We start from the raw sequence: 26,238 nt of genomic DNA, 5'->3' as shown, positions 1-26,238 counted from the left end.
CTCTGTCCCCCAGGCTGGAGTGCAGTGGCGTGATCTTGGCTCACTGCAACCTACGCCTCCCAGGTTCAAGCGAATTCTCTGCCTCAGCCTCCTGCATAGCTGGGACTACAGGCACGTGCCACCACGCCTAGCTAATTTTTTGTATTTTAGCAGAGACGGGGTTTCACCATGTTGGTCAGGATGGTCTCTATCTCCTGGCCTCATGATCTGCCCACCTTGGCCTCTCAAAGTGCTGGGATTACAGGCGTGAGCCACTGTGCCCGGCCAAGTCAAAGGAATCTAAAAGCAAGGGTAGAGAAAACCTACTCCTGTCATAGGGCAGACTTTTGCTGGAGAATGTGTCTGTCATGTCTATTGTTTTTTGTTTTTTTTGTTTGTTTGTTTGTTTTTTGAGGTGGAGTCTCCGTCAACCAGACTGGAGTGCAGTGGTGCAATCTCGGCTCACTACAACCTCCACCTCCCGGGTTCAAGAAGTTCTCTTGCCTCAGCCTCCCAAGTAGCTGGGATTACAGGCATGTGCCACGACGCCTGGCTAATTTTGGCATTTTTAGTAGAGATGGGATTTCGCCATATTGACGAGGCTGGTCATGAACTCCTGACCTCAGGTGATCCACTCGCCTAGGCCTCCCAAGTGCTGGGATTATAGGCCACCACGCCCGGCCTGTCATGTTTATTTCAATCAGCAGTTGCAAAATTATTAACCCACGGAGGAAATAATTGCTACTGAGGAAAAGGCTCTCTATGCACAGTGAAGAACCTGACACAACCCAGCTTATGTGCCCTCCTGAATCAGGCCTCGTTTGGTAAGAGACTTCTTTCCCAAGCCCTTGAGGAAACAGCCGCTAACCTCTGTAATGTATGTGGCCACGTTTCCATAACTGAACTCAATTGATAAAACAGCAAAGCACCACTTCTACCTCAGAAAAAGAAAGACAATCTTAACCTGGCATTAGATGGGACCCCTCATCTGTCCTGCCACTAGGAAGCCACTGTAATTCATCCTCTGGAGGAGCTGGGTGGACGGGGCGGTGGTGGGACATCGGGATGCTGCCCGTGCATGGCCCCACCCCAGCTGGACATGAGAGTTGCAAAAACAAGGTGCTAGACGCAAGCTATAACCGACCATGCCGAGTTCACGTTTGTCCCGTCCCTAGGTTGTGTATGTGCCAGGATTTGAGCACTTCTAGGGCATATGCTGACAACGTTATCGAATACCACAAACCATCGCCTCAGTTCCTAGTTTTGGGTCAGATACTGAGAATCAGTCCTAGCACTGACAGAGATTGACAGTTGTCCTTGTCTCCCAACATTCAGAATCTGTGAGCTGCCCAGAGGCATCTGGACTTTCTATGTGCTTTTAATGCATCCCTCAGCATGGCCAGAATGAAGACATCAGAAAATACCAATTGTTGGAGAGGCTGGGGAGCAACCAAACTGTCTTCCTCAGCTGGCGTGATATCCGTTGCACGCTCCACCTGGGAAACTCTGTCAGTAGCTGCTGAAAGTGGACAAGCACATCTGCGATGACCGGCGACCCCTTGGGTGGAGAATATCCGGCAGAAAAGAGCGTGTGTGCTCCCCAAAGACACTCACAGGAAAGCAGCACTTTCATCACCTCCCAAAGCCATAACCACCCAAACCCTCACTGACAGTAGAACCTGTGAACAGATTCTAGGACATTTCAGCCCTGGCACGCTATGTCCCCGCGGGAAGGACAGATCCTTAAACACATGCGACAACGTGGGCCAATCTCGCAAAACAGAGTAAATGAAGCTCACACAAAAGGAGTCCTGATCTCCTTTATTTCCAAGGAGGCTGCAGTTACCCTTGATGGGGAGGCTCACCACAGGAAGCTGGCCGCAGAAGACTTATCGGGGATGGCTTCCAGTCATGGGTTTTGTTGTGGTTTTCATTTCAATCTGGTTAATGATTAAATTTCATGAAAATTCATTGAGCTGTACATTTATGACAGGAATGACTTTTTGCTATGTATACAATATTTCAATTAAAAGTAAAAAAAAAAGAAGAAATAAACAGCATGTCTCAAACACATTATGAAAATCTCAGCTGGGCGCGGTGGCTCACACCTGTAATCCCAGTACTTTGGGAGGCCGAGGCGGGCGGATCATGAGGTGAAGAGATCGAGACCCATCCTGGCCAACGTGGTGAAACCCTGTGTCTACTAAAAATACAAAAATTAGCTAGATGTGGTGGTGGGCGCCTGTAATCCCAGCTACTCGGGAGGCTGAGGCAGGAGAATCACTTGAACCCTGGAGACAGAGGTTATAGTGAGCTGAGATCATGCTACTGCACTCCAGCCTGGCAACAGAGCGAGATTCCGTCCCAAAACAAAAACAAAAACAAAAGAAGAAAGAAAGAAAATCTCAGCAGATATGGAGTGGCAGGTAGGGTAGCTGAAGGATCTGTCATAAACCCAGAGTCACACGACTGTACCCAAGTGCAGAGATGGCATCAGGACTTTTAGAGTAACTGTCTTCACAGCACCAGAAAGCCCCAGATTGCTGCAGGACTCTCCAGCACTCACACCTATTTAACCACAGGGCAGAATACTCCCAAAACAGCACTGACAAGCGCTTATCTGGTTCAACGGAGGGTGGAAGAGGAGAGGGTTGGGATCAACAGGTACCTGACTACCTCACACATCCAGGTGCCAGCAATGGTCCCAGGAGGCTGGGACCTTCTTTCTCCTTGGTCAGATCACAATGCTCCTATAAATCTTTAACAAACCACAGTTAGCTGTTTACATACTTTCCATTAATCCCACAGTTAGTTGCAAAAACTACATGATTACCGCTTTTGCGTTTTATCTTAGCGCTCTAAAATTATGCTAGCTTATATGCAGGGATGAGAAAAAGCCCATTAAATAAAAATGGAGTCAGTTTTGTTAGCACTTTTCCTGTTTCACTGTTGCAGGATCATGGCTCCTTTCTGAGAAAAACCACAGGAAAACTTGACCATGTACACGTGGAACCTAATAAGTGCTGACTCAATGTCACCATGGCCATCATTCCCTCTACCACGCTCCCTCCTCAGTGTCACCATGGCCATCATTCCCTCTGCCACACTCCCTCCTCAATGTCAGCCATGGCCATCATTCCCTCTGCCACGCTCCCTCCTCAATATCACCATGGCCATCATTCCCTCTGCCAGCTCCCTCCTCAATGTCAGCCATGGCCATCATTCCCTCTGCCACGCTCCCTCCTCAGTGTCACCATGGCCATCATTCCCTCTGCCACGCTCCCTCCTCAGTGTCACCATGGCCATCGTTCCCTCTGCCACGCTCCCTCCTGAATGTCAGCCATGGCCATCGTTCCCTCTGCCAGCTCCCTCCTCAATGTCAGCCACGGCCATCGTTCCCTCTGCCACGCTCCCTCCTGAATGTCAGCCATGGCCATCGTTCCCTCTGCCAGCTCCCTCCTCAATGTCAGCCATGGCCATCGTTCCCTCTGCCACGCTCCCTCCTCAGTGTCAGCCACGGCCATCGTTCCCTCTGCCACGCTCCCTCCTCAGTGTCAGCCACGGCCATCGTTCCCTCTGCCACGCTCCCTCCTCAGTGTCACCACGGCCATCGTTCCCTCTGCCACGCTCCCTCCTCAGTGTCACCACGGCCATCGTTCCCTCTGCCACGCTCCCTCCTCAGTGTCACCACGGCCATCGTTCCCTCTGCCACGCTCCCTCCTCAGTGTCACCACGGCCATCGTTCCCTCTGCCACGCTCCCTCCTCAGTGTCACCACGGCCATCGTTCCCTCTGCCACGCTCCCTCCTCAGTGTCACCACGGCCATCGTTCCCTCTGCCACGCTCCCTCCTCAGTGTCACCACGGCCATCGTTCCCTCTGCCACGCTCCCTCCTCAGTGTCACCACGGCCATCGTTCCCTCTGCCACGCTCCCTCCTCAGTGTCACCACGGCCATCGTTCCCTCTGCCACGCTCCCTCCTCAGTGTCACCACGGCCATCGTTCCCTCTGCCACGCTCCCTCCTCAGTGTCACCATGGCCATCGTTCCTTCTGCCACGCTCCCTCCTCAATGTCAGCCATGGCCATCGTTCCCTCTGCCAGCTCCCTCCTCAATGTCAGCCATGGCCATCGTTCCCTCTGCCACGCTCCCTCCTCAGTGTCACCATGGCCATCGTTCCCTCTGCCACGCTCCCTCCTCAGTGTCACCATGGCCATCGTTCCCTCTGCCACGCTCCCTCCTCAGTGTCACCATGGCCATCGTTCCCTCTGCCACGCTCCCTCCTCAGTGTCACCATGGCCATCGTTCCCTCTGCCACGCTCCCTCCTCAATATCACCACGGCCATCATTCCCTCTGCCACGCTCCCTCCTCAGTTTCACCATGGCCATCATTCCCTCTGCCACGCTCCCTCTTCAGTGTCACCACGGCCATCATTCCCTCTGCCAGCTCCTTCCTCAATGTCAGCCATGGCCATCGTTCCCTCTGCCACGCTCCCTCCTCAGTGTCACCACGGCCATCATTCCCTCTGCCACGCTCCCTCCTCAGTGTCACCACGGCCATCATTCCCTCTGCCACGCTCCCTCCTCAGTGTCACCATGGCCATCATTCCACCTCCAGGTGAGTCAGCATTGGCACCATTGAGGACAGATGATAATCATTTTCCACAACAATGACAATCACAACCAATCTCACCGGCCAGTGTGTTGTGGCCACCGCCAGATCCCCAGGGAGGCCTCACAATGGGGACTCTTCCATGGGGACCGGCCATCTGCCTGCTCCACGTCTTCTCATTTGCTTTTCTTAAGCTTCTCACATCTCTCCAATAGCCAGAGAGAGTACCGCGCACCAAAGGGTTAGCTATGAGGCCTGACCCAAGACAGGAGGAAAAGTGGTTCAAAAGTTCTAGCACACTAGGGTGTTCCTCTCCATTGTGGGTGACTTCGCTTGTTCCTGACACACTTCACACCCATGGCGTCTGTGTCTGGGAGGCTGTTCAGATCCACGGCTGCTGCTGAGGGTGCTCCGCATACTTCACAGGACTTCATTTTCTTTCCCCAGAAACACTCTGAAGTCACACAGTGAGTGGCGCACCTCATCACTGACGCTAAATCCCGACTCCTCTTGCTCCTCTTGACAGTCTCGAGGTCTTGCCATTCACGGCCTCAGAAAGCCGGCACAGCCGTCTCAGGCCAGGCCTGTTTTCTCCTGCAGTACGTTCTCGTGTTTTTATTTTTCCTTTTTTTGAGACAGAGTCCTCGCTCTGTCACCCAGGCTGGAGTGCAGTGGCGTGATCTCGGCTCACTCCGAGCTCCGCCTCCCGGGTTCACGCCATTCTCCTGCCTCAGCCTCCCGAGTAGCTGGGACTACAGGCGCGCGCCACCACGCCCAGCTAGTTTTTTGTATTTTTAGTAGAGACGGGGTTTCACCGTGTTAGCCAGGATGGTCTCCATCTCCTGACCTCATGATCCGCCTGCCTCAGCCTCCCAAACTGCTGGGATTACAGGCGTGAGCCACCGCGCCCAGCCAAATAAATCTTTAAGAGATTTTGAAGAGTCTTCACAAATTTTATGTCAATGTGGATATAGCTAATGACTCACATACATTAGCATACATATTTTTGATAATTCAATAAATTTTATTCCCAAGTACGTACAGATTTTATTTCCAAGATGATGATAAGAAAATTGGAAGATGGGAAATACTTTTTAGCAACATGGTTTTTCACTTGTGTATCTGCTAAAATCCTGGGGTGTCACATAGACACGCTAAACCTCGTCTCTACTAAAAACACAAAAAATTAGCTGGGCGTGGTGGCGGGTGCCTGTAGTCCCAGCTACTCAGGAGGCTGAGGCAGGAGAATGGCGTGAACCTGGGAGGCAGAGCTTGCAGTGAGCCAAGATCACGCCACTGCACTCCAGCCTGGGCAACAGAGTGAGACTCTGTCCCAAAAAAAAAAAAAAAAGGAGGAGGGGAATGAAAGGAGATGAAAGAGGAGATAAATTACATTCAGATGGTGGCCTCTTCTGTCGGCATTAAATTGGCCAAATGACCTTCAGGGTGTCCAGAGCAGCAGCGGTGATGGGGCAGCCATGGGAAGGAAAGGGGAGAGTTAGAGTCGAGGGGCCATTTGGGCCCCGCTGTCCTGGGGCTGTGACGCCAACCCCAGAGGCTCTAGTGTGCTCATCTCTAGAGTCCTCTCCACAGCCTGGATCACTTCCTCCCTACAGCGAGGGAGGGGCCTCTGATTTCCCACATGCTTTCCCAGCCTTCAAATTCCATAACCCTCAAATTCCCCAGGGAGGGGAGGCCCGTGTCATCCCCTTTCCCCAGGAGGCGGCCACTGTCTCCATGATGCTCTGTGCCTGGCACAGACTTCCCTCTCTGCTCTAACCGTTAGGGCCTGATTTTGTTCTCCTGATTGATGCCCGTTTCCTTTCTCCATGTCAACCTCCACCAGTGCTACTGGTCTCCAATAGAACAACATTGGAAAGAAGGGCACTGCCAGTCCTTCCAGTAAATCCATGGATCCCACCCTAGGTCAGGGACATGGCCACAGGCCTGGGTTGTGTTGGGATCTGTGAGAGATGATGATGACCAAAGCCTGGGATGACCCTGGAAATGTAAACTATTCAAGCCTAACAAGAATCCCACTAGCATCTCAATGATTGGCAAGGACAGAACGGGATTCCAGGGAAAGCCCGTTTTCCCATTGCCTTAATCCGCAGGTGAAGCCGTGGTTGTTAGCATATGAACGAAGGGGCCCTGCCAGGGTTTGCCTGAGCTGTGGGAGGACTGGGCGGAAGGGCACCTGGCCGGCCTGACCCAGGGAACACGCTGGGCCTGATGGCAGCGTGGGGAACAGGACAAGGCTGCCAGGCCAGAGCAAAGGGCGTGACAAAAAATTGAGCCCTGTGCCGGCTGCCCAGTGGCCCCGTCCTGGGCGTGGTGGATTCCTGGAGCCAGGTCACGGGGAGGGTGAGAGCCAGTGCCTGCAGCAACACAGCAGCCCCTCCACGCATGTCCCCTAGGATTCCTGCCAGCCACGGAGGGCCTCGGTGACAGCTGGACACTGACTTCTCAAATGAAACCCAATTAAGGCTTCATTCCTAACCCAAGGATTTGGGATTGGGTGAGGAGTGGCCAGAAACATGCTGAAGCGTGGGCTTCCCCTCGCGACCCCACGGCGGGTGAAGCGTGGGCTTCCCCTCGTGCCTCCACAGCCGGGGCATACATATTCATCCCAGAGGAAGGATTCTCTGCATCATCCAACCCTGTGGGTGCCTTTCAACCCGGAGCCGATGGTGAGGACGGGACAGGAAGGTGCTGCTGCAGGTCCCAAGGGTGCAGAGGGAGAGGGTGGACTCCTCCCACCTCCTGGCACACACGTGGGAGACTTTGTCTCCAGGGAGACTTAGGGGCTGTGAGGGGCTGTGTCCCACATCACTCCCCGCATAGCACCAAATGCCACACCCACATACTAATCCCGTGTTCTCCATTCACAAAGGATGCCATCCCATCAAAACCCAAGGATTTAGTGCTTTCTGTGGCACAGGCAGGAAAGATCTGGTTTTCTGCAAAAGGTCATCTTTAAACACCAGAGCAAGAAATGAATATGACAAGCAGAGCACACACAACATCCATGCAAACACAACCTCTTAGGACTCTGTCTTAATTAAAATACAAAAGGAGGCCGGGCTCGGTGGCTCTTGCCTATAATCCCAGCACTTTGGGAGGCCGAGGTGAACAGATCTCGAGTCCAGGATTTCAAGACTAGCCTGGGCAACATGGCGAAACCCTGTCTCTACAAAAAGTACAAAACTTAGCCAAGCATGGTGGCATGCACCTGTATTCTCAGCTACTTTCTGGAGGCTGAGGTGGAACGATTGATTGAGCCCAGGAGACGGAGGTTGAGCCACAGTGGCACACTGACTGCACTCTAGCCTGGGTGACAGAGTAAGACCCTGTCTCCAAAAAGAAAAAGAAAAAAAAAAGGAATAAATCAGACTTCTGCACCTGGCTCCTTTTCCATTTACTGATTTTATAGCCCCAATCCTACTGCGCCCGTAAGAACCCTCTGCACAGGCCCCACCTGGAGTCCTTCTCTACCTGAAGAGGCTTCATCCTTATGGCTGCAGTCAGGCAAGCTGTCCTTGAGCCCATCTGTAGAGACACAAACATCAGCAGAAAGGTGATTCCAGAGAGTTACTCACCCAGCTCTTCTACTCTATGTGCAACCACGTGGAGGACACAAGGTCTCCTGCCTTGTCCTGTGTCCTCAGATTCTCCCTGTGCTCTGTGGACTCAGAGGCTGTCAACAAGGCACGGCTCATAGTCGAGAGCCTTCAGGTGAGAGGGAGGAGCTGACGACATTCCCTTCCAGCTGTACACTTCCACTGGACCATTACGGCTCTCACCTGCAAACCGATAACCCTGAAATTCCAGCTTTGATGCATGTGCTTTGAGTTAGATGAGTTCAGTGAACACAACTGATGCGAGGCTCACAGAAGCTGCATGAGAGAAGGTTCTGGGAGGATGGAAATGTTTTCTGCAGTATAGACATATGGCTACTGTGCACTCAAAGTATAGCTCTGGTGAGGAGGTCCTGAATTTTAAATTTTACTATTTTATTTTTGAGACAGGGTCTTGCTCTGTCACCCAGGCTGGAGTGCAGTGGTGCGATCTCAGCTCACTGCAACCTCCGCCTCCCAGGTTCAAGCGATTCTCCTGCCTCAGCCTCCCAAATAGCTGTAACTACAGTTGTGCACCAACACACCCGGCTAATTTTTGTATTTTTAGTAGAGACAGGGTTTCACCTTGTTGGCCAGGCTGGTCTTGAACTCCTGACCTCAGGTGATCTGCCCACCTCGGCCTCTCAAAGTGCTGGGATTACAGGCGTGAGCCACCGCACCTGGCCTCCTCCTGACACTTTTACAAAACATTTTGCTGACCAAGAACGATACAGAAATTTTGTCTCCAGTGTTCAAATATGCATGTCAAGGAGGAAAACAAATTCTGAAGGAACTTTTTTAAAAGGCAACTACCTGAAAAACTGTGATAAAATATGTGTAACACGAAATTTCCCATCTGCATCATTTCAAGTGTTCAGTAATGTTAAGAGCCTTCAATTGGCATGCTACCATCACCTCCATCATCTCCGGAGGTCGTTCCTCATCCTCACTGAAACTCTGCCTGTTAAACAGCCACTCCCCTTTCCCTCCTCCCTCCAGCCCCTGGCTTCCTACTAGACCTAGTATACTTCAAGCATGCCCCTGTATACTTCATAGACACATTCTACTTTGTGTCTCTATGAAATATACTAGGTACTTCATGTGAGTGGAAATACACAATATTTGTCCTTTTGTGTCTGCCTTATGTCATTCAGCATAGTCCTCAAGATTCATTTATGTTGAGGCCTAGGTCCAAATACCCTTTTTTTGTAAGGTTGAATAATATTCCATTGTATGTACATACCGCATGTTATTGATCCCTTCGTCTGTCAATGGATATGAGTTGCTCCCACCTTTTATCTATTTTGAATAACACGGCTATCAACAGGGATGGGTGTCTCTTTATTTCCTTGCTTTCAATTTTTGGGGGATATAAACCCAGAAGTGGAATTGCTGGAGCGTCCCTAGGTATAATTTCCGAGGAACTGCCTTACTGTTTACTAGAGGGGCGGCACTATTTTACATTCCCACCAGCAGCGCACAAGGGTTCCAGTCTCTCCACATCTTCACCAACATTCGTTATTTTCTGGGTTTTCTTTGATACTAGTCAATGTAGTAGGAGTGAAATGGAATCTCGTTGTCATTTCCATCTGCCTAATGATTAGTGATGCTGAGTATGGAAAAATGTCCATTCAAGTCCTTTGCTCGTTTGCTTTTTTTTTTTTAAGACAGAATCTCACTCTGTCACCCAGGCTGGAGTGCAGTGGCGTGATCTCGGCTCACTGCAACTTCCACCTCCCAAGTTTAAGCAAGTCTCCTGCCTCAGCCTCCCAAATAGCTGAGATTACGGGCACGTGCCACCACACCCGGCTAATTTTTGTAGTTTTACTAGAGACGGGTTTCACCGTGTTGGCCAGGCTGGTCTCAAACTCCTGACCTCAGGTGATCTGCCTGCCTCGGCCTCCCAAAGTGCTGGGATTACAGGCATGAGCCACCGTGCCCGGCCTTACTCATTTCTGAATTTGACTGTTAGGTTTTTGTTATTTTAATTGAAGTGTAATATTCATACAGAGAAGCCACCAGTCCCCAGAGGGCAGCTTGGTAAATTATCATAGAGTGAATACGTCTGGGACACCAGCCCTCAGATCAAGAAATAGAATAATACCAGAGCCACCCTCCCCCAGAGCACTAAGATCATCGCTATCCTGACTTCTCACCAGATGTTTCTTTGGCCTGTTTTAGGGCTTCGCAGAAACACAATCGTGCCGTACGCATTCATTTGTGTCTGGCTGCTTCTGCTCAACATTATGTTGCTGAGATTCACCAACTGTGCATGGCGGCTGTTAATCCATTTTCAGTGCTGTAAGAACTTTACTCTATAAATATATTGAGAGGTACTTATCCATTCTCCTGTTGGAAGTTGGGGCTATTGTGAAGGGTGCTGGTATAAACATTCTAGTGCACGTCGCACGTCATTTGGTGAACACGTGCACAGTGCACAGTTCTTTTGGGTCTATGCACAGGAGTGGAATGTGGGGATCACAGGTGTGGTCTCCTTTAGTAGGTATTACCCAGGGGTTTTCCAAAGTAGTTGTGCTATTTTACATTCCCAATAGTATATGAAGTTTCAGTTACTCCACATTCTTGCCCAAACTTGGTATCAACAGTGTTTTTAATTTTAGCCATTCTGGTAGGTGTAATATTGATTTCTCACTGTGGTTTAAATTTGATGGCTTATGAGGCTGAGCATGTTTTAAATGCTTTTTGGCCATTTGGATGTTCATTTGCTCTTTCCTCTCCCTCCTTCCCTCCCTCCTCCCTCCCTCCCCCCTCCTCCCTCCCTTTCTTCTTTCCCTTTTGTGTCCCTCTTCATTTCTTTCACCCATTGTCCTATTGGTCTGCCAGCTTTTTTCTTAATTTTTTAAAAAATTTATTTTACTTTAGGCCAGGCGCGGTGGCTCATGCCTGTAATCCCAGCACTTTGGGAGGCCGAGGCAGGTGGATCACGAGGTCAGGAGATCGAGACCATCCTGGCTAACACGGTGAAACCCCGTCTCTACTAAAAATACAAAAATTAGCTGGGCATGGTGGCATGTGCCTGTAGTCCCAGCTACTCGGGAGGCTGAGGCAGGAGAATGGCGTGAACCCAGGAGGCAGAGCTTCCAATGAGCTGAGATCACGCCACTGCAATCCACCTGGGCGACAGAGCGAGACTCCATCTCAAAAAAAAAAAAAAAATTTACTTTAAGTTCTGGGATACATGTACAGAACGTGCAGGTTTGTTACATAGGTAAACATGTGCCATGGTGGTTTGCTGCACTTATCAACCCATCACCTAGGTATTAAGCCCCCGCATGCATTTTTATTAACTTACAGGAATTCTCTTTATACTCTACATGTAATTTATCTTTTCACCCTCCTCCATTCCCCACCTCTTTTTTTTAAGAGACAGAGTCTCACCCTGTCACCCAGGCTGCAGTGCAGTGGCACAATCATGGCTCACTGCAGCCTCAGCCTCCCAGGCTCAAGTGTTCCTCCTGCCTCAGCCTCCCAAGTATCTGGGACCACAGGCATGCACCACCATGCCCAGCCAATTTTTCATTTTTTGTAGAGACGAGGTCTTGCTAAGCTGCTCAGGCTGTTCTCTAACTCCTGACCTCAAGTGATCCTCCCGCCTTGGCCTCCCAAAGTGCTGGGATACAGCGTGAGCCACCACACCCGGCCCCATCTTTTTACTCTTATTGATGAAAAAATTCTTAATTTTACTATCATCCAATGTATCAATCATTTTCTTTGGGGATAGTGTTTTGTCTTATTGAAGAAATTTTTACCTGCCTCCTAAGGAGCCTTAAAAATCTCCATATGCCCACAAAGCCCCACTGTTCTAACGTCTATTTTGTGCTAGAAAATAAACGAGGCACTGTCCCAGAGGCTATGCCTATCTTGTGGGAAAACTGTCTTCATCATCATTTGCTAAGATGGGAGATGATCGGGATGAGGACAATCTCCATGGCTCCCGGCATCTGATCCCTTCCTGCATTAGAGAGAGTGGGCCTGATGCCATCGTGGGCCCAGCCCCACCTGCACCCCACGGGGAAAGGGCAAGAGGAATGGAGAAGGTGTGGTGTCCTTGGGCAGAGCCAGCCCAGAGATGTGGCTCTGCAAACAGAATGAGGGTACAGATGAGTCTGCCTGCATCGCCATGGGGCTCCGGGGGCTGCAGGAGGTGGGAGAGAAGCAGGTAGAGGAGGGATCCAGCAGGAAGAAGAGCAGAGCATTCTCCCTGGAAAGGGAGAAAGAAGGACGCACCTGGCCGGGCGCGGTGGCTCAGGCCTGTAATCCCAGCACTTTGGGAGACAGAGGCAGGCGGATCACGAGGTCAGGAGATGGAGACCATCCCGGGAGGCGGAGGTCCCAGGAGTCTGGTGATACCCTGTCTCTACAACAAATACAAACATTAGCTGGGCGTGATGAGAGGCACCTGTAATCCCAGCTACTCAGGAGGCTGAGGCATGAGAATCGCTTGAACCTGGGAGGCAGAGGTTGCGGTGAGCGGAGATCGTGCCACTGTACTCCAGCCTGGGTGACAGAGCGAGACGCTGTCTCAAAAAAAAAAAAAAAAAAAAAGGACGCACCTTTCATTTAACAGCTCAGTGTTCCAGTGACCGGAGGTGAGGTCGCAGCTGCTGGTCCCACAGAGCCTGTCTCTGGCGTTAGTTGTTTAGATGTCAGAATTGGTGAAAAGTTTGAGATTGTACCAGCTGGTCCGGGAAAGGTGATGGGGGAGCTATAAAGCTTGCAGCAGGGCAGTCAGGGATGTCCGGTGCACAGGGGCTCCAGGGCACGTGAGCCACACGGTGCTTAGGGCCAGGCCTCCCAGGAGTGACCCAGACCAGCCTTTTCTTTCTCATTCTCTCACTCTCTGAATTCAAAAGCTTGAACATGCCACAAAATGTCCACCCAATAAAAAGAAAGTATTTGCCTACTGGGCTCAGACATGGTATTAAGGAAATTGCAAATCTACTGACTGTGACAGAAAGCAAATCAGTGGCTGCTTGGGATGGGGGGGGGTGGGAGGGGCTGTAGGGAGGGATTCCAAAGAATCACGAGGAAGCTTTGGGAGTCGTGATGCTCCTGGTCATGGTTTTGCGGGTGCGTATGTGTGTCAACATCGATCAAAAAAAAATTTTTTTTTTTTGAGATGGAGTTTCACTCTTGTTGCCCAGGCTGGAGTGCAGTGGCGTGATCTCGGCTCACTGCAATCTCCGCCTCCCGGGTTCAAGTGATTCTCCTGCTTCAGCCTCCAGAGTAGCTGGGATTACAGGCATGCACCACCACACCTGGCTAATTTTTTATATTTTTAGTAGAGACAGGGTTTCACCATGTTGGTCAGGCTGGTCTCGATCTCCTAACCTCACGTGATCCACCCACCTCAGCCTCCCAAAGTGCTGGGATTACAGGCGTGAGCCACCACGCCTGGCCTTGTTCTCTTGTATGTGAGTTACCCCTCCGTGAGGCTGCTAAACATCCCCCCAGCACACACACGCACAGACACACACCTGCACGCCCTCACGTAGTTTGCGAGGCAGTGGTTCAAGTTACACGTTAATCCCTCAAGCGTGCTCATCTCACTCTCCAAACCTGCCCTCTTGCAGGGTCCATGCTTCTTCTAAGTGTCCTGGTCACAAGGCAGCTGGATCGACACTCAGAGGTACAGAGCAGAGCAGAGTGTGGTCCCTGAATCTGTCTCACCCCCACGATCTTTACACACAGAGACCTTCCCAGGAGCTGTGACTTGAACTTCACAATCTGCAGGGTCCACCCAGGAGCCGTGTCCTCCTCACAGGCAATTGGATCCCCTCCTCTCTCAACCTGTGTGGGAAGACTGGAAACAAAAAATAGAGAAAGTTGGAGGTAAAACACTAAGGGGATGGGCATCCCCAGGACAGAGGAAAACACTGAGGGGATGGATGGGCCACACCTGAGCATCCTCAGGACCGAGGGAAACACTGAGGGGATGGATGGGCCACATCTGAGCATCCCCAGGACCGAGGAAAACACTGAGGGGAGGGATGGGCCACACCTGAGCATCCTCAGGACCGAGGGAAACACTGAGGGGCTGGATGGACCACACCTGAGCATCCCCAGGACCGAGGAAAACACTGAGGGGCTGGATGGGCCACACCTGAGCATCCTCAGGACCGAGGGAAACACTGAGGGGATGGATGGACCACACCTGAGCATCCCCAGGACCGAGGAAAACACTGAGGGGCTGGATAGGCCACACCTGAGCATCCTCAGGACTGAGGGAAACACTGAGGGGGTGGATGGACCACACTTGAGTGACCCCAGGACAGAGGGAAACACTGACGGGATGGATGGGCCACATCTGAGAGTTCCCAGGGCCGACATAAAAAACCTATTGGGATAGACCAAACCTGTGAGTCCCCAGGGTGCAGTAAACACTAAATTAATAGACCACACCTGAGGGTCTCGAGGACCGAGGTAAAACACTCAGGGGATGGATGGGCCATATCTGAGGGCCCCCAGGACAAAGGTAAACAATAAGGGGATGGGCCACACCTCAGGGTCCCCAGGACAGAGGTAAACACTAAGCGGATGGATGAACCACAACTGAGATTCCCCAGAATAGAGATAAAACACTTTGGGGATCGACCACATCTGAGGGGCCCAAGGCAGAGGTAAACACTAAAGAAATGGATGGACCACACCTAAGGGTTCCCAGGATAGATGTAAACACTAATGGGACGGATAGACCACACCTGAGAGTCTCGAGGACAATGGAAAAACACTAATGGGATGGATTGACCACAACTGAGGGTCCCCAGGACAGAGGTAAACACTAATGGGATGGATAGACCACACCTCAGGGTCTCCAGGACAGAGGTAAAAACCAATTGGATGGATGGATGGAACCTGAGGGTCTCCAGGAACGAGGTAAAACACTGAGAAGATGGATAGATCACACCTGAGCATCCCCAGTACAAAGGAAAACACTAATAGGATTGACCATACCTGAGGATCTCCAAAACAGAGGGAAACACTAAGGGGCTGGATCGCCCACACCTGAGAGTCCTTAGGACAGAGGTAAACACTGAGGGGCTGGATGGGCCACACCTGAGGGTCCTCAGGACAGAGCAGTGAAGGACGGCTGTTGCTGGGATAATTCCATATCTTTGGAGAACAAGAATTCCAGGTAGTTTTCTTCGCTCCAAACAGCGTGGTTATGAACTAGCTTTCACTCCAGGAGGCTTTAAAGCTTCAGATAATATCTGTAGTAATAAAGAAAAACAGGCCAGGTGCCACGGCTCACACCTGTAGTCCCAGCACTTTGGGAGGCCAAGGTGGGAGGACCACTGAGGCCAGGAGTCTGAGACCAGCCTGGACAACGTAGCGAGAGCCCATCTCTGTAAATAATTTCAAAAATGTAAAAAAAAAAAAAAAAAAAGAAAGAAAGAAAAACAAATAGTGGTAACTGACAACTAACATATTGTTACTAACAAAAATTTACACCAAGGTGAAAAAAATCAACTTTTTTTTTTTTTTAATCAAAACGATGCCTCAGTCTAGGAAGAGGTGCTTCCTCTCTGGAAGCAGCTGAACACCTGAGCTGCTGTCCACAGGCGGACGGACTCTCCAGGAGCCCCCAGTGGGCCTCGGCTCCTCCACGTCAGCTCCTCTCTTGTCCCTCTGCTGGTCCACGGGGGCCGCTGCAGCTGGCCAGGTCTCCTGGGAGTCGGAGGGGGCCATGGGTTCCACCCCAGGGCCCACCTCATCAGCACAGTGCTCTCACCATCTGAGCACCAGCCCAGAGGAAAAGGAGAAAGAATGGGTGATGCTGATCCCCCAAGCAAAATGGAAACCCCTCCACCTCCCACCCTCAAAAGCACCCAACAACGGGCCCTGGGCACTGAGGGCCTCACGGGGAGCTGTTTGCATCACAGTGAAATCTACAAAGTTCCCATGGCACGTGAGTGGACGCTTCCTCCACACGGGAATGTCCGGCTGCCCCAAGGAAGGCTGCAATAATGTTGAGATCTTTGAATAGGAGCAAGGGATCAAGGCCGATGGCCTCTCTGAGGGCCTCAGTTTCCATCCATGTGGGCAAGCTCCCCTTTGGGAATCTGGGTTATGGTTCCCGAGATGGGGACAAGAGGCATCCGCTGACGGCTATATTTACAAAAATCCATCAAGTCGACACGCTTGTGAGAGTCAAAGCAGTACAGTAACTCACTGGAGAAGTGAAAATTTCTCATCTTCACACACACAGAGATAACGGGGGCGGCGTGGGGGCAAGCCGAACGCATGCGTGTGCTCTGTGCACTCACCGCCGCCCTCTCCGCGGCTGTCTGGCTCCTGATTTGCATAGTGAGAGGCAGACACCAGGCTTGAATCAGGAGGGGCAGCGCCTTGTCCCAGTGAGTTTGGGTCTTGAGACAGTGAGTAGCAAGGGTGTAGAAAGGAAGGGATTTATCGACAAAGTTATCTGACTTTGATTCTTGAGCTCAATAGGGAGAGTTTGAATAAAAAGGAACACCGATACTAACACACGTTAAATAGACGAACTGCTTCTAATATTTGATAGGCAATAAATGTCGCATTTGTTTATACTTCCTAAGCAAAGTCAAGTCTCGTTCTCAGTTGCTCATTTTCAGAAAGTGAGAAAGTCCAAGATCTCATGGGCCCCTCCCCTTCCTCGGGTTATGGACACCAGGGCCCTGGGGACTGCAAGCTGGGGAGGTCTCCCGGGAGTCAGAGGGGGACATGGAGGAGAGCGGAGGAGAGAGTGCTGTTCTAGGGTGTCATTAGGTGGCTGTCAGATCCCTGCTCCTACATTCAGTAGGGAGTGACCTTCGGAAAATTATGTAGCCTCCCTAAGTCTCAGTTTTCTCACCTGAAAAATGGAGCTGATGGTAATACTCCTCATCCAGTAGAACAGTATGTGTTGACCATGCTTGTGGCATTCTTTTTAAGAGCTGCACAGCACTCCATTGTATGGGCATTAAATCATTTATTTATTGTGTGCAATCTCGGCTCACTGCAACCTCTGCCTCCCAGGTTCAAGCGATTCTCCAGCCTCAGCCCACTGAGTAGCTGGGATTACAGGTGACCACCACCATGCCTGGCTAAATTTTGTATTTTTAGTAGAGACGGGGTTTCACCATGTTGGCCAGGCTGGTCTTGAACTCCTGACTTCTGGTGATCTGCCCACCTCAGTCTCCCAAAGTGCTTGGATTACAGGCCTGAGCCACCACTCCCGGCCCATAGACCTAAATATAAAACACATTTGTTGAACACCATGAAACCAGCAGCTTTGCTGTCACCACCAGAGGGACTCACATGATTTGGAGAATTTTCAAATAGGGATATCGATGCAAACACACAGGAAGGACCAGTAGCTCTGCTCGTCTCCTCAGAGACCAGAACCTGCCCAAACCACCCAGCATCACTGACTGATGACGGTGCCTGAGCTCATGCGAAGAGAAGACACAGCGAGGGGAGGTGCCTGTGGAAAGCAGATGGCCTGAGCTGTGTGTGCACGCCCTAGTCCACGGGTAGATCCATCAGCCACAGTGGAAGCCTCACCGACTCAAGGTGTTAGTGTACAAATTCAGACAACTGTTGGCAGAATACCAAGCACGCAGATAAAGGAGCGGTTCCTGGGAAGCCATGCATAAGAAACAAAAAATGAGCAGAGACGGCTCCGGCTACACGCTGCTTACAGAATTTACAAATTTAGTGCAGGCTGGTTACAAACAAACGAACAAACAGTAACAACTCTCAGCAGAAAAGAATCAGAATCCAGAGTTGAAGAGTCTATAACCTAAAGTATCCAGTGTTCAATGATAAGTTACAAGACAAAAAGAAACAGGCAAGTGTGGGGGGAAACTGTCTTTGTGTCCCCAGATGTCACACTTAGCAAACAAAGACTTCAAAGCAGTTACTTATGTTAAAAGAACTTAAAAAGGGCCAGGCACGGTGGCTCACTCCTGTAATCCCAGCACTTCGGGCCACCGAGGCAGGCGGATCACCTGAGGTCGGGAATTCGAGACCAGCCTGATCAACATGGAGAAACCCCATCTCTACTAAAAATACAAAATTAGCTGGTGTGGTGGTGCATCCCACTATCCGGGAGGCTGAGGCAAGAGAATCGCTTAAACCTGGGAGGCAGAGGTTGCAGTGAGCCAAGATCGTGCCATTGCACTCCAGCCTGGGCAACAAGAGCGAAACTCTGTCTCAAAAAAAGAAAAAGAAAAAGAAAAATGACTTATGAAACATCAAGCACAATATATGTAGAAAGAGAGTCTCAGAAAGAAAGAAGAGGGGAAACAAAGAACTATTTACAGAAATAATGGCTGAAAACTTACCAAATTTGATATAAAACATTAATCTATAGAATCAATGTTTACTTTTAGTAAAATAAAAATCAAGATATCCACTCCTACACACCTGTGTCAAGCTATGAAAAGACAAAGAGTAAATATTGAAAACAGTAAGACAAAAACTTCTCTTCATGTACAAGAGCACCACGATAAAATTAGCCACTGATTTCTGATCAGAAACAATGGTGAAGCCAGGCACGGTGGCTCACGCTTGTAATCCCAGCACTTTGTGAGGCCAAGGCAGGTGGATTACCTGAGGTCAGGAGTTCGAGACTAGCCTGGCCAACATGATGAAACCCTGTCTCTACTAAAAATACAAAAATTAGCTGGGCATGTTTGTGCGTGCCTGTAATATCAGCTCCTCGGAGGCTAAGGCTGGAGAATCGCTTGAACCTGGGAGGCAGAGGTTGCAGTGGGCTGAGATCACACCACTGCACTCCAGCCTGGGCAACAAACAGAGGGAGACTCCGTCTCAAAAAAAAAAAAGAAGAAGAAGAAGAAAGAAACAATGGTGGGAAGGCAATGGGATGGCATAGTCAAAGAATGAAAGAAAAAAAATTGTCAACTAAAAATGCCGTGTCCGGCAAATCTATCCTTTAAAAATAAAGATATTCCCCAATAAACAAAGACAGAAAATTTGCTGCCAGCACTCCTACCTTATAAGAAATACTAAAATAAAGCTTCTGAACTAAAAGAAAGGCTTGTTTCTTCTATTTGAAAATACTGAATTGATTTGTCACAGATATGTGTGTATATGTGTGTGTGTGTGTATGCTGAATATTCCAAAATTTCTCATGCACTTTAATTGATTTTAGAAGCAAAAATATTGCAAATATATAAAAATATTCTTTGAAGGTTTAATTAGTTCAATTTTTATACTTTTTTAGTCCTATGAATTTTAATAATAAAGAATTGATTTAATTTTTGATTAAGTCTAGCTGAAGATAGTAAAGATTAATTGAAACAAAGTTATAAAAATTTATTCAAAACTCACAATGATAAACAAGTATAAAAATGTAAGCTCTCTGTCTGAGTGGATGCAAGGCAAGAACATACTGTGTGGGGAAGTCCCCACAACCACACAGCCGTGACGCCAGAGCTCCACGGAGGCCCAGGGATGATCTCAGAGCCATTCCCAGGCCTGGGCCTCACCCTAGAGCCAAGGTCCCCTGGGGAAAGTGGAGCCTGCCTCAGGGGGCACAGCATCACCTCCTCAACCCCAAGCCTGGCTGCCTTTCTGATGGAGGAGCCAGGTGGGCTCTGGGAGGCCTAGAACCTTCTCACCCCTCCCAGCCCCAAAGGGTGCAGTTAGTTACTGCATCACAGCCCCCAGGGGACCCCTGACCACAACCTCTCCAAGTCACACCGACCGGCAGCCTCCCAGGGGCCGAAGACCCCCACCCCATGGAGCATGGCAGACAGCCCTGGCAGGCCCAGGTGCAGACACGCAGGGAGAGGTGGCCCCACTGTCGTGGTCCCCTACAGCCACCGCCGGGGTGCACTCCCTGTTTGGCAGCCACTGTCTAGTCCCCTGCGCCTGGCCACACACAGGTGGGGAAGAAATCATGACACAGGGTGTTGACTGCGGCCTCTCCCTGCCATGTGACAGCTCCCGAGGTCCCTGCGGCACTCTCCCCAATGCATCCTGACCTCACTATATTTGCACCCCAAACCCTGGCACCCAGGCCCCACGCGGCACTCCCTGTCCTCAGCGCAGTGGTACCCCTGTACCTGGACCTTCAGCCCGTCAACATTCACCCCGTCCTCAGCACAACAGCACCCCTGTATCATGAAACCAAGCCCCCCACCCTGCACCCTGTCCTCAGCAAAGCAGCACCCCTGCCCCGACACCCATTCCCCCACCCTGACCCCTGAAAACGAGCCCCCGGCCCTGCACCCGCTGTCCTCAGCACAGCAGCACCCCTGCCCTGAATCCCAGCCCCGCCACCCTGAACCCCGCCCTCAGCACAGCACCATCCATGCCTTTTGATGCCCGGGCCACCCGCCCTGCCCCACCTGTCCTCAGCACAGCAGCACCCCTGTCCTCTGACACCCAGTCCCAAAACCCGCACCGGTAAGTGTTGGCCCTGAGCCTCCCATGGCCCTGAAGGCCGTATCTTCAGGTGCTCTGTCCGCAGCAGCACGTAACTCCCAGGCTGCCCGGTGGGTTGAGGCCCACGGCAGCCTCACCAAGGGTTCCACCCCAGAAACGACAGGCTTTTAGATGTTTAAAGACCAGAGTGGCAAAAATGCAGGAGAGCAAAGTAGCCTTGCCTAAGAGACCGCTCCACTCCAGCAGCAGAGCTGGAGGAGGAATGAGGGAGGTAGAGCGCAGAAGGGAACTCAGGACTGGGCCATCTGCTGCAGAAACAGCAGGCCCAGGACAGTGGCGACTTCTGGGCTCCCCGGCCCTCTGCTCATGCTTGCTCAGAAAGGGCTGTCCTGTTTACTTCGGGAGGCGGCTTTGGCGGGAGGGGCAGCCACATTGGGACCTCCGGCTGTGGCTGGGTTCTGGGCACCAAGCCCGCTGCCAGGCCGGCGCCTGCTCCTGCAGACCTGCCATGCCAATGCTCTCCAAGCTGAGGCCGGGTGGCCTGCGACGCTCAGCCCGATGCCCATCACAAGAAAAAAAGCAATTATCAGGGCGCTGTGCGCACGGGGCCACCTTCGCGCTGGCCCGTGAGGGCACCCTCAGCCGGCGGGACTTTCACTTTTGCCGAGCAGCGGCAGCAGCACCGGATGTCTCCTTCGCCCCTGCGCACCGGGGTCGCGCAGAAAGGACGGTGGTTCTGACCGGCGGCTCTGCGGGGCGGGGTGCGGCGCTCAGCCCGGTCGCCCCATGCCTGCCCAGGGCTTGGTGGACCCGAGGGACACTGTGGGCATGGCACCTCTGGGCAGGGACTCCTGGGCAATCTGAGCTGCTGTACGCCCTGCTCTGGTCTCTGCCCGCCAGGCGAGCGCCGTGCGCGAGAGGAGCAGGCAGGGGAAGCACGCAGGCGGCATGTAGGAGAGGAGCGCGGACTGTGCAAGGGCAGGAGCGGGGCGGGGGCCAGGCAGGGGCAGGGGCAGGGGCAGGAGCGGGGAGCGGGCCAGGCAGGGATAGGAGCGGGTCGCCACAGGAGCGGGGCGCGGGTAAGAGCAAAGCCGGCCGGCAGAGGTAGGAGCAGGGCGCAGGCGGGAGCAGGGCGTGGTGCTGGGAAGGCCACCACTAACCTGGGTCCGCTCGCCTTTGCACGCACAGCCCCTCCTTTCACCAGGTGCACCTGCCTGCAGTCCCTGTGCTTTGCCCTTTTTGCTGCACAAAGACAGCAGGGAAGCCGTGCAGGATGCAAGATCTGAGACTGCTGGGGTTGTGACCCGAGGACTCTGAGAACACCACCCTCCCCGCCAACCGCCCATCCCTACCCCAGCTCCAGGCTCCCCCCACCAGAGCGCATCCCCAGCCATTTCTCCTGAGGCAGAGGCTCGGTGGAGCTCAGCCTCTGTGGGGCTAGAGGCCAGAGGAAGGGAAGATATGGGCAGGGAAGGGGGCAGGAGAGCGTTTGTCAGCATCCAGGGCAGTGCAGAGGGTGGGGGTCCTGGAGGCCAGGCCTGGGAAAAATGTAACCAGGTTTGGAAAAACAAGAATTAGGGAGGCGGGAGGCAGAGGCGTTGGTCAACAGGCACCAGGTGGCTGAGGCAGTCCAGAGGGGTGAGGGGCAGGCCTGTCAATGTCAGGCCCCGAGCTGGTAAGTTTCAACTCCCTACTGTTCTCTGGGAGGTTTCCGGAGAAACCAACTCCAGTGAGACAAATGTAACTTTCTTTAAGACTGGGAGGATCAATTTCTACATTTATTCAAAGAAGCAGTAAACATCTACAGGAGAATTTGGCTACTTTCCACCTCATTGGGGGAGTGGGGGGGGCCCTTCCCTCCTCTACACAGGAAAGCACGGGGTGTGGGACTAGGAGAGCCAGCATGGAGCCCCAGAGAATCCAGTTTTCCCCCGAAGAAATGATGCCCAGCATCACATTCACCTCTAAAAAGGGGAAGCCATGGACCTGTCAGGGGGGTCCTGGGGTGAGGTAGGAGGTGGGTTCTGGGCTTCTGTGGGGAAAGTCCCTGTTCTTTCCATATCCCCCAGCTGCCTCTTGAGGTCTGGCCTGCACCCAGCCACAGACAGATGGAGGAAGGGAAGCCCATGGGGCCATGGGGTGGGAGGGCCCAGGAAGCTGGGCCTGGGGTGCCCCGGGGCCAGCCCCTCCTCTTTCTCCTGCATCCTGGCTGAGCTCAGGGCTGAATCAGTGATCTGCACATCACTGCAGATCTGAAAAAGTGAAGTCACCCTGGCAGGCAGGAGGAGGAGTTGCAAAGACGGGCTGGCTCGGACTTGGCCAACCGCTATGTCCAGAGCCGGCCTGCTGAGGGGTAGGTGGTGTGGGCAGCCAGCCCACGAGAGGTACCCTAAACCACTGGACCCTCTGCTGCCTGCCACCCACCCCCGCCAGGCTTTACAGAGCTGGAGTTGTCTCCCTTGGGTGCATACAAGCCCCGTTTCTGTTGCTAGCAGCTACACAGTCTTCACACTCAGGCCTATGCCCAGGGAAGGGACATTGTAGGTAGGGAGGGGCTGAGGGGGACTTTTGGCAACAGACAAGCTCCTGTGACTGTCCCCTAGGAGAATGAAGAGAGAAGGGGGTGGGCCTGAATAGCACCCCCCCGCCCCCACCTCCCAGGAACCTCTCTGGCCACATCTTGGCTGCTGCACAGACTGGATGCCTGGCTCAGCTCTGTGACCACCTCAGGGCCCATCTGAGCCTGCACTCCTGCCTGGCATCCCAGGCACTTTTCCCTTCTCCCCATCCCCACCCTTGGAGGGCTTGAGTGGACACCTGACACCAGGGGGAGATATGGTCTTCTCCTGGGGAAAAGGTCTGGGGAGCCTCATGTGGGTGCACCCCTGTACACTTGCATACGTGCACACATGCATACACCTGTGTTCACATGTGTGGACACACATGCACACGGATGCACACCTTCCTCCACATGCACACCCAGGGACCTGACCAGAGGATCACCCAGTAGAGAACAGAGGTGAAGCCTGCGGCCTGATGGCCTCAGCAACTATAGGGAGAGGAGACAGCCCTGCCTGGGTGTGGGCTCAGGATCCAAAACATCAGGCAGCAAAAAGGAGCTCCTCGCCCGCACAAGGGAAATGGGGCCACCCCGAGGTCCCACAAGGAGAGGTGGAGGCAGAGTGGGTTGCAAGGCAGGCCAGGCCCTGGCCCTGGCTTCTCTCAGTTCCTCGGGTGAGGAGGGCCTGCAGGGGGCTCTGCCTCCCTTTCTTGCCTTCCCTTAGTCGACTCTCTCTGAGCCTCAGTTTCCCCAGCTGGAAACATCTCCATCTCAGAAGGAGGGGTTGTAAGAATTAAAGAGGAGAGAAACACGAAGGGTGGCTCAACAGTCAGCAGGTTTATTTCAAACCTGGGAGGGACTTCTGTCCAAGTCAAGTCAGAAGCCGCACTCCCCTACATGCTAAAAGTTTTTAAGGATTCAGGGTGGGAGAGTTTATCAGAGGCTTGCACTGCTCCTATGTCTCTTTGTTGTGCTTATCTGGGAGGGAGAATTGTGTGTCTGTTCCCATACATCTTGCTTCAGCCGCAGGCATACCTCCCCTCCCCCGAGTCTGCTTTAGCTTCCCTATCTTAGCGCATCTGAAGGGAAAGGACTGTGATTATTAAGGCCCACTGGTTTACTGGGGCCCATTGTATGAGGGTGAAGTTTGGTAGTTACTTGAGAGACTTTCCCCCCTCCCCCCACCTCCCTCTGTGCCCAAGCTGTCTTATCTTTTACTGCCTGCTCTTTCTGGCTGCTGCTTGTAGTTAGAAGTTAAGTGATATCCTTGAAATGCATGGGGCTAGAAAGGGAGCTGGAACTTAAAGTGGCGGTGTTTGTCTGAGATGACGGTGCTCCTGCTCTGTCACCCCTGCCTTTTCATGCCCAGGAACCCTGCCCTGCACCACCTCTGTCCTCTGCACTGCAGCAACTCTGCCCCTGACACTCAACACCACACCCTGCACCTCATCCTCAGTGCAGCAGCACCCCTGGCCCCGACACCCAGACCCAAAACTTGCACCCATAAGTGTTGTCCCTGACCTCCCATGGCCCCAAAGCCACATCTTCAGGTGCCCTCCCAGACAGTGGCACAGAACTCCCAGGCTGCAGGCTGGGTCTCAGCCCACTGCAGCCCCTCCAAGGGAGCCACCCCAGAAACCACAGGCTTTTAGGTTTTTAAAGACCAGGTGGCAAAAACGCAGGAGAGCAAAGCAACCTTGCCAAAGAGAGCCTCTGCACTCCTCTGCCAGCCAAAGCGGCAGAGCTGGAGGAGGAATGAGGAAGGTAGAGCTCAAAAAGGAAACCAGGAATCGCCACACTGTCTTCCACAATGGTTGAACTAATTTACACTCCTACCAACAGTGTAAAAGCGTTCCTATTTCTCCACATCCTCAAGGATCTAGAAATAGAAATACAATTTGACCCAGCAATCCCATTACTGGGTATATACCCAAAGGATTATCAATCATTCTACTATAAAGACACAAGCACACATATGTTTATTGCGGCACTGTTCCACAATAGCAAAGACTTGGAACCAACCCAAATGTCCATCAATGATAGACTGGATAAAGAAAACGTGGCACATATACACTATGCAGCCATAAAAAAGGATGAGTTCCTGTCCTTTGCAGGGACATGGATGAAGCTGGGAAACATCATTCTCAGCAAACTAACACAGGAACAGAAAACCAAACACCACATGTTCTCACTCATAAGTGGGAGTTGAACAATGAGAATACATGGACACAGGGAGGGGAACATCACACACTGGGGCCTGTCGGGGGCTGGGGGGAGGGATAGCATTAGGAGAAATACCTAATGTTGATGACGGGTTGATGGGTGCAACAAACCACCGTGGCCCATGTATACCTGTTAACCAACCTGCACTTTCTGCACATGTACCCCAGAACTTAAAGCATAATAAAATAAAATTTTAAAAAAGGAAACCAGGACTGCACCGTCTCCTTCAAAAACAGCAGACCCGTGCCACTCGTGGCTTCCTGGGCTCCCCGCCCCTTCGCCCACACCTGCCCCGAAAGAGCTGCCCTGTTTGCTTCAGGACACCGGCTTTGGTGCTTGGGACAACCACGCTGGGAACTCCCACTGCGCTAGGTTCTGGGCACCAGCCCCGCTGCTCGCGGGCGCCTGCTCCTGTCAGAGACCTGCCCGCCGCCCGCCACCAGTGCGCTCCCAGCCGAGGCCAGGTGGCCAGTCACACGCAGCCCGCTGCCCAGCGCAAGCAGAAAGGTGCTTCTCAAAGCTCGGCTCCGCCGCTTGGCACTCTGGGCCACCTTTGCACTGGCCGATGCGGGCGCCTGCAGCCAGCAAGACTTACTTTTGTGAGCAGCCTCGGCGCACCGGATGTCGTCTTTGCCATCCCCAGTGGGCGCTGGGGCCGCGTCTGGAGAGACGGTGGCTCTGGCCGGCGGGGTGCGGCGCTAAGCCCGACCGCCCCATGCCTGCCCGGGTGAGGCCGACGTGGGCGTGGCACCTCGGGGCAGGGACTCCAGAGCACTCAGCGGCTGCGCGCCCTGCTCTGTCACTGTTGGGCCAGGCGGGTGCCGGCTGCTGGGGAGGAGCCGGAAGGGGCAGCG

At 52.4% G+C, this 26,238-nt stretch overlaps 1 long non-coding RNA gene across 1 annotated transcript, besides 2 other annotated features; it reads right to left on the bottom strand.

Moving 5' to 3' along the window:
* Positions 1 to 5,945: 5,945 nt before the first annotated feature.
* LOC100128340 (uncharacterized) lies at positions 5,946 to 26,219 on the bottom strand. Its single transcript, NR_149047.1, has 4 exons — positions 25,980 to 26,219; positions 13,790 to 14,029; positions 8,084 to 8,137; positions 5,946 to 6,027 (listed from the first exon to the last, which is right to left on the bottom strand). It is a non-coding gene; the product is annotated as an uncharacterized LOC100128340 (long non-coding RNA).
* Positions 7,161 to 7,680: an enhancer, noted in NCBI's record as "H3K27ac-H3K4me1 hESC enhancer chr5:177385067-177385586 (GRCh37/hg19 assembly coordinates)". NCBI's record gives its function as "activates a minimal SCP1, AML or CMV promoter by ChIP-STARR-seq in naive H9 embryonic stem cells {active_cell/tissue: H9 hESC(naive)}" and the evidence as "EXISTENCE:reporter gene assay evidence [ECO:0000049][PMID:30033119]".
* Positions 25,598 to 26,198: an enhancer, noted in NCBI's record as "H3K4me1 hESC enhancer chr5:177366549-177367149 (GRCh37/hg19 assembly coordinates)". NCBI's record gives its function as "activates a minimal SCP1, AML or CMV promoter by ChIP-STARR-seq in naive H9 embryonic stem cells {active_cell/tissue: H9 hESC(naive)}" and the evidence as "EXISTENCE:reporter gene assay evidence [ECO:0000049][PMID:30033119]".

Source organism: Homo sapiens, chromosome 5 (assembly GCF_000001405.40).
Source record: "Homo sapiens chromosome 5, GRCh38.p14 Primary Assembly".
In the NCBI taxonomy this organism is placed as follows: Eukaryota; Metazoa; Chordata; class Mammalia; order Primates; family Hominidae; genus Homo; species Homo sapiens.
This window is presented reverse-complemented; position numbering and strand designations above follow the sequence as displayed.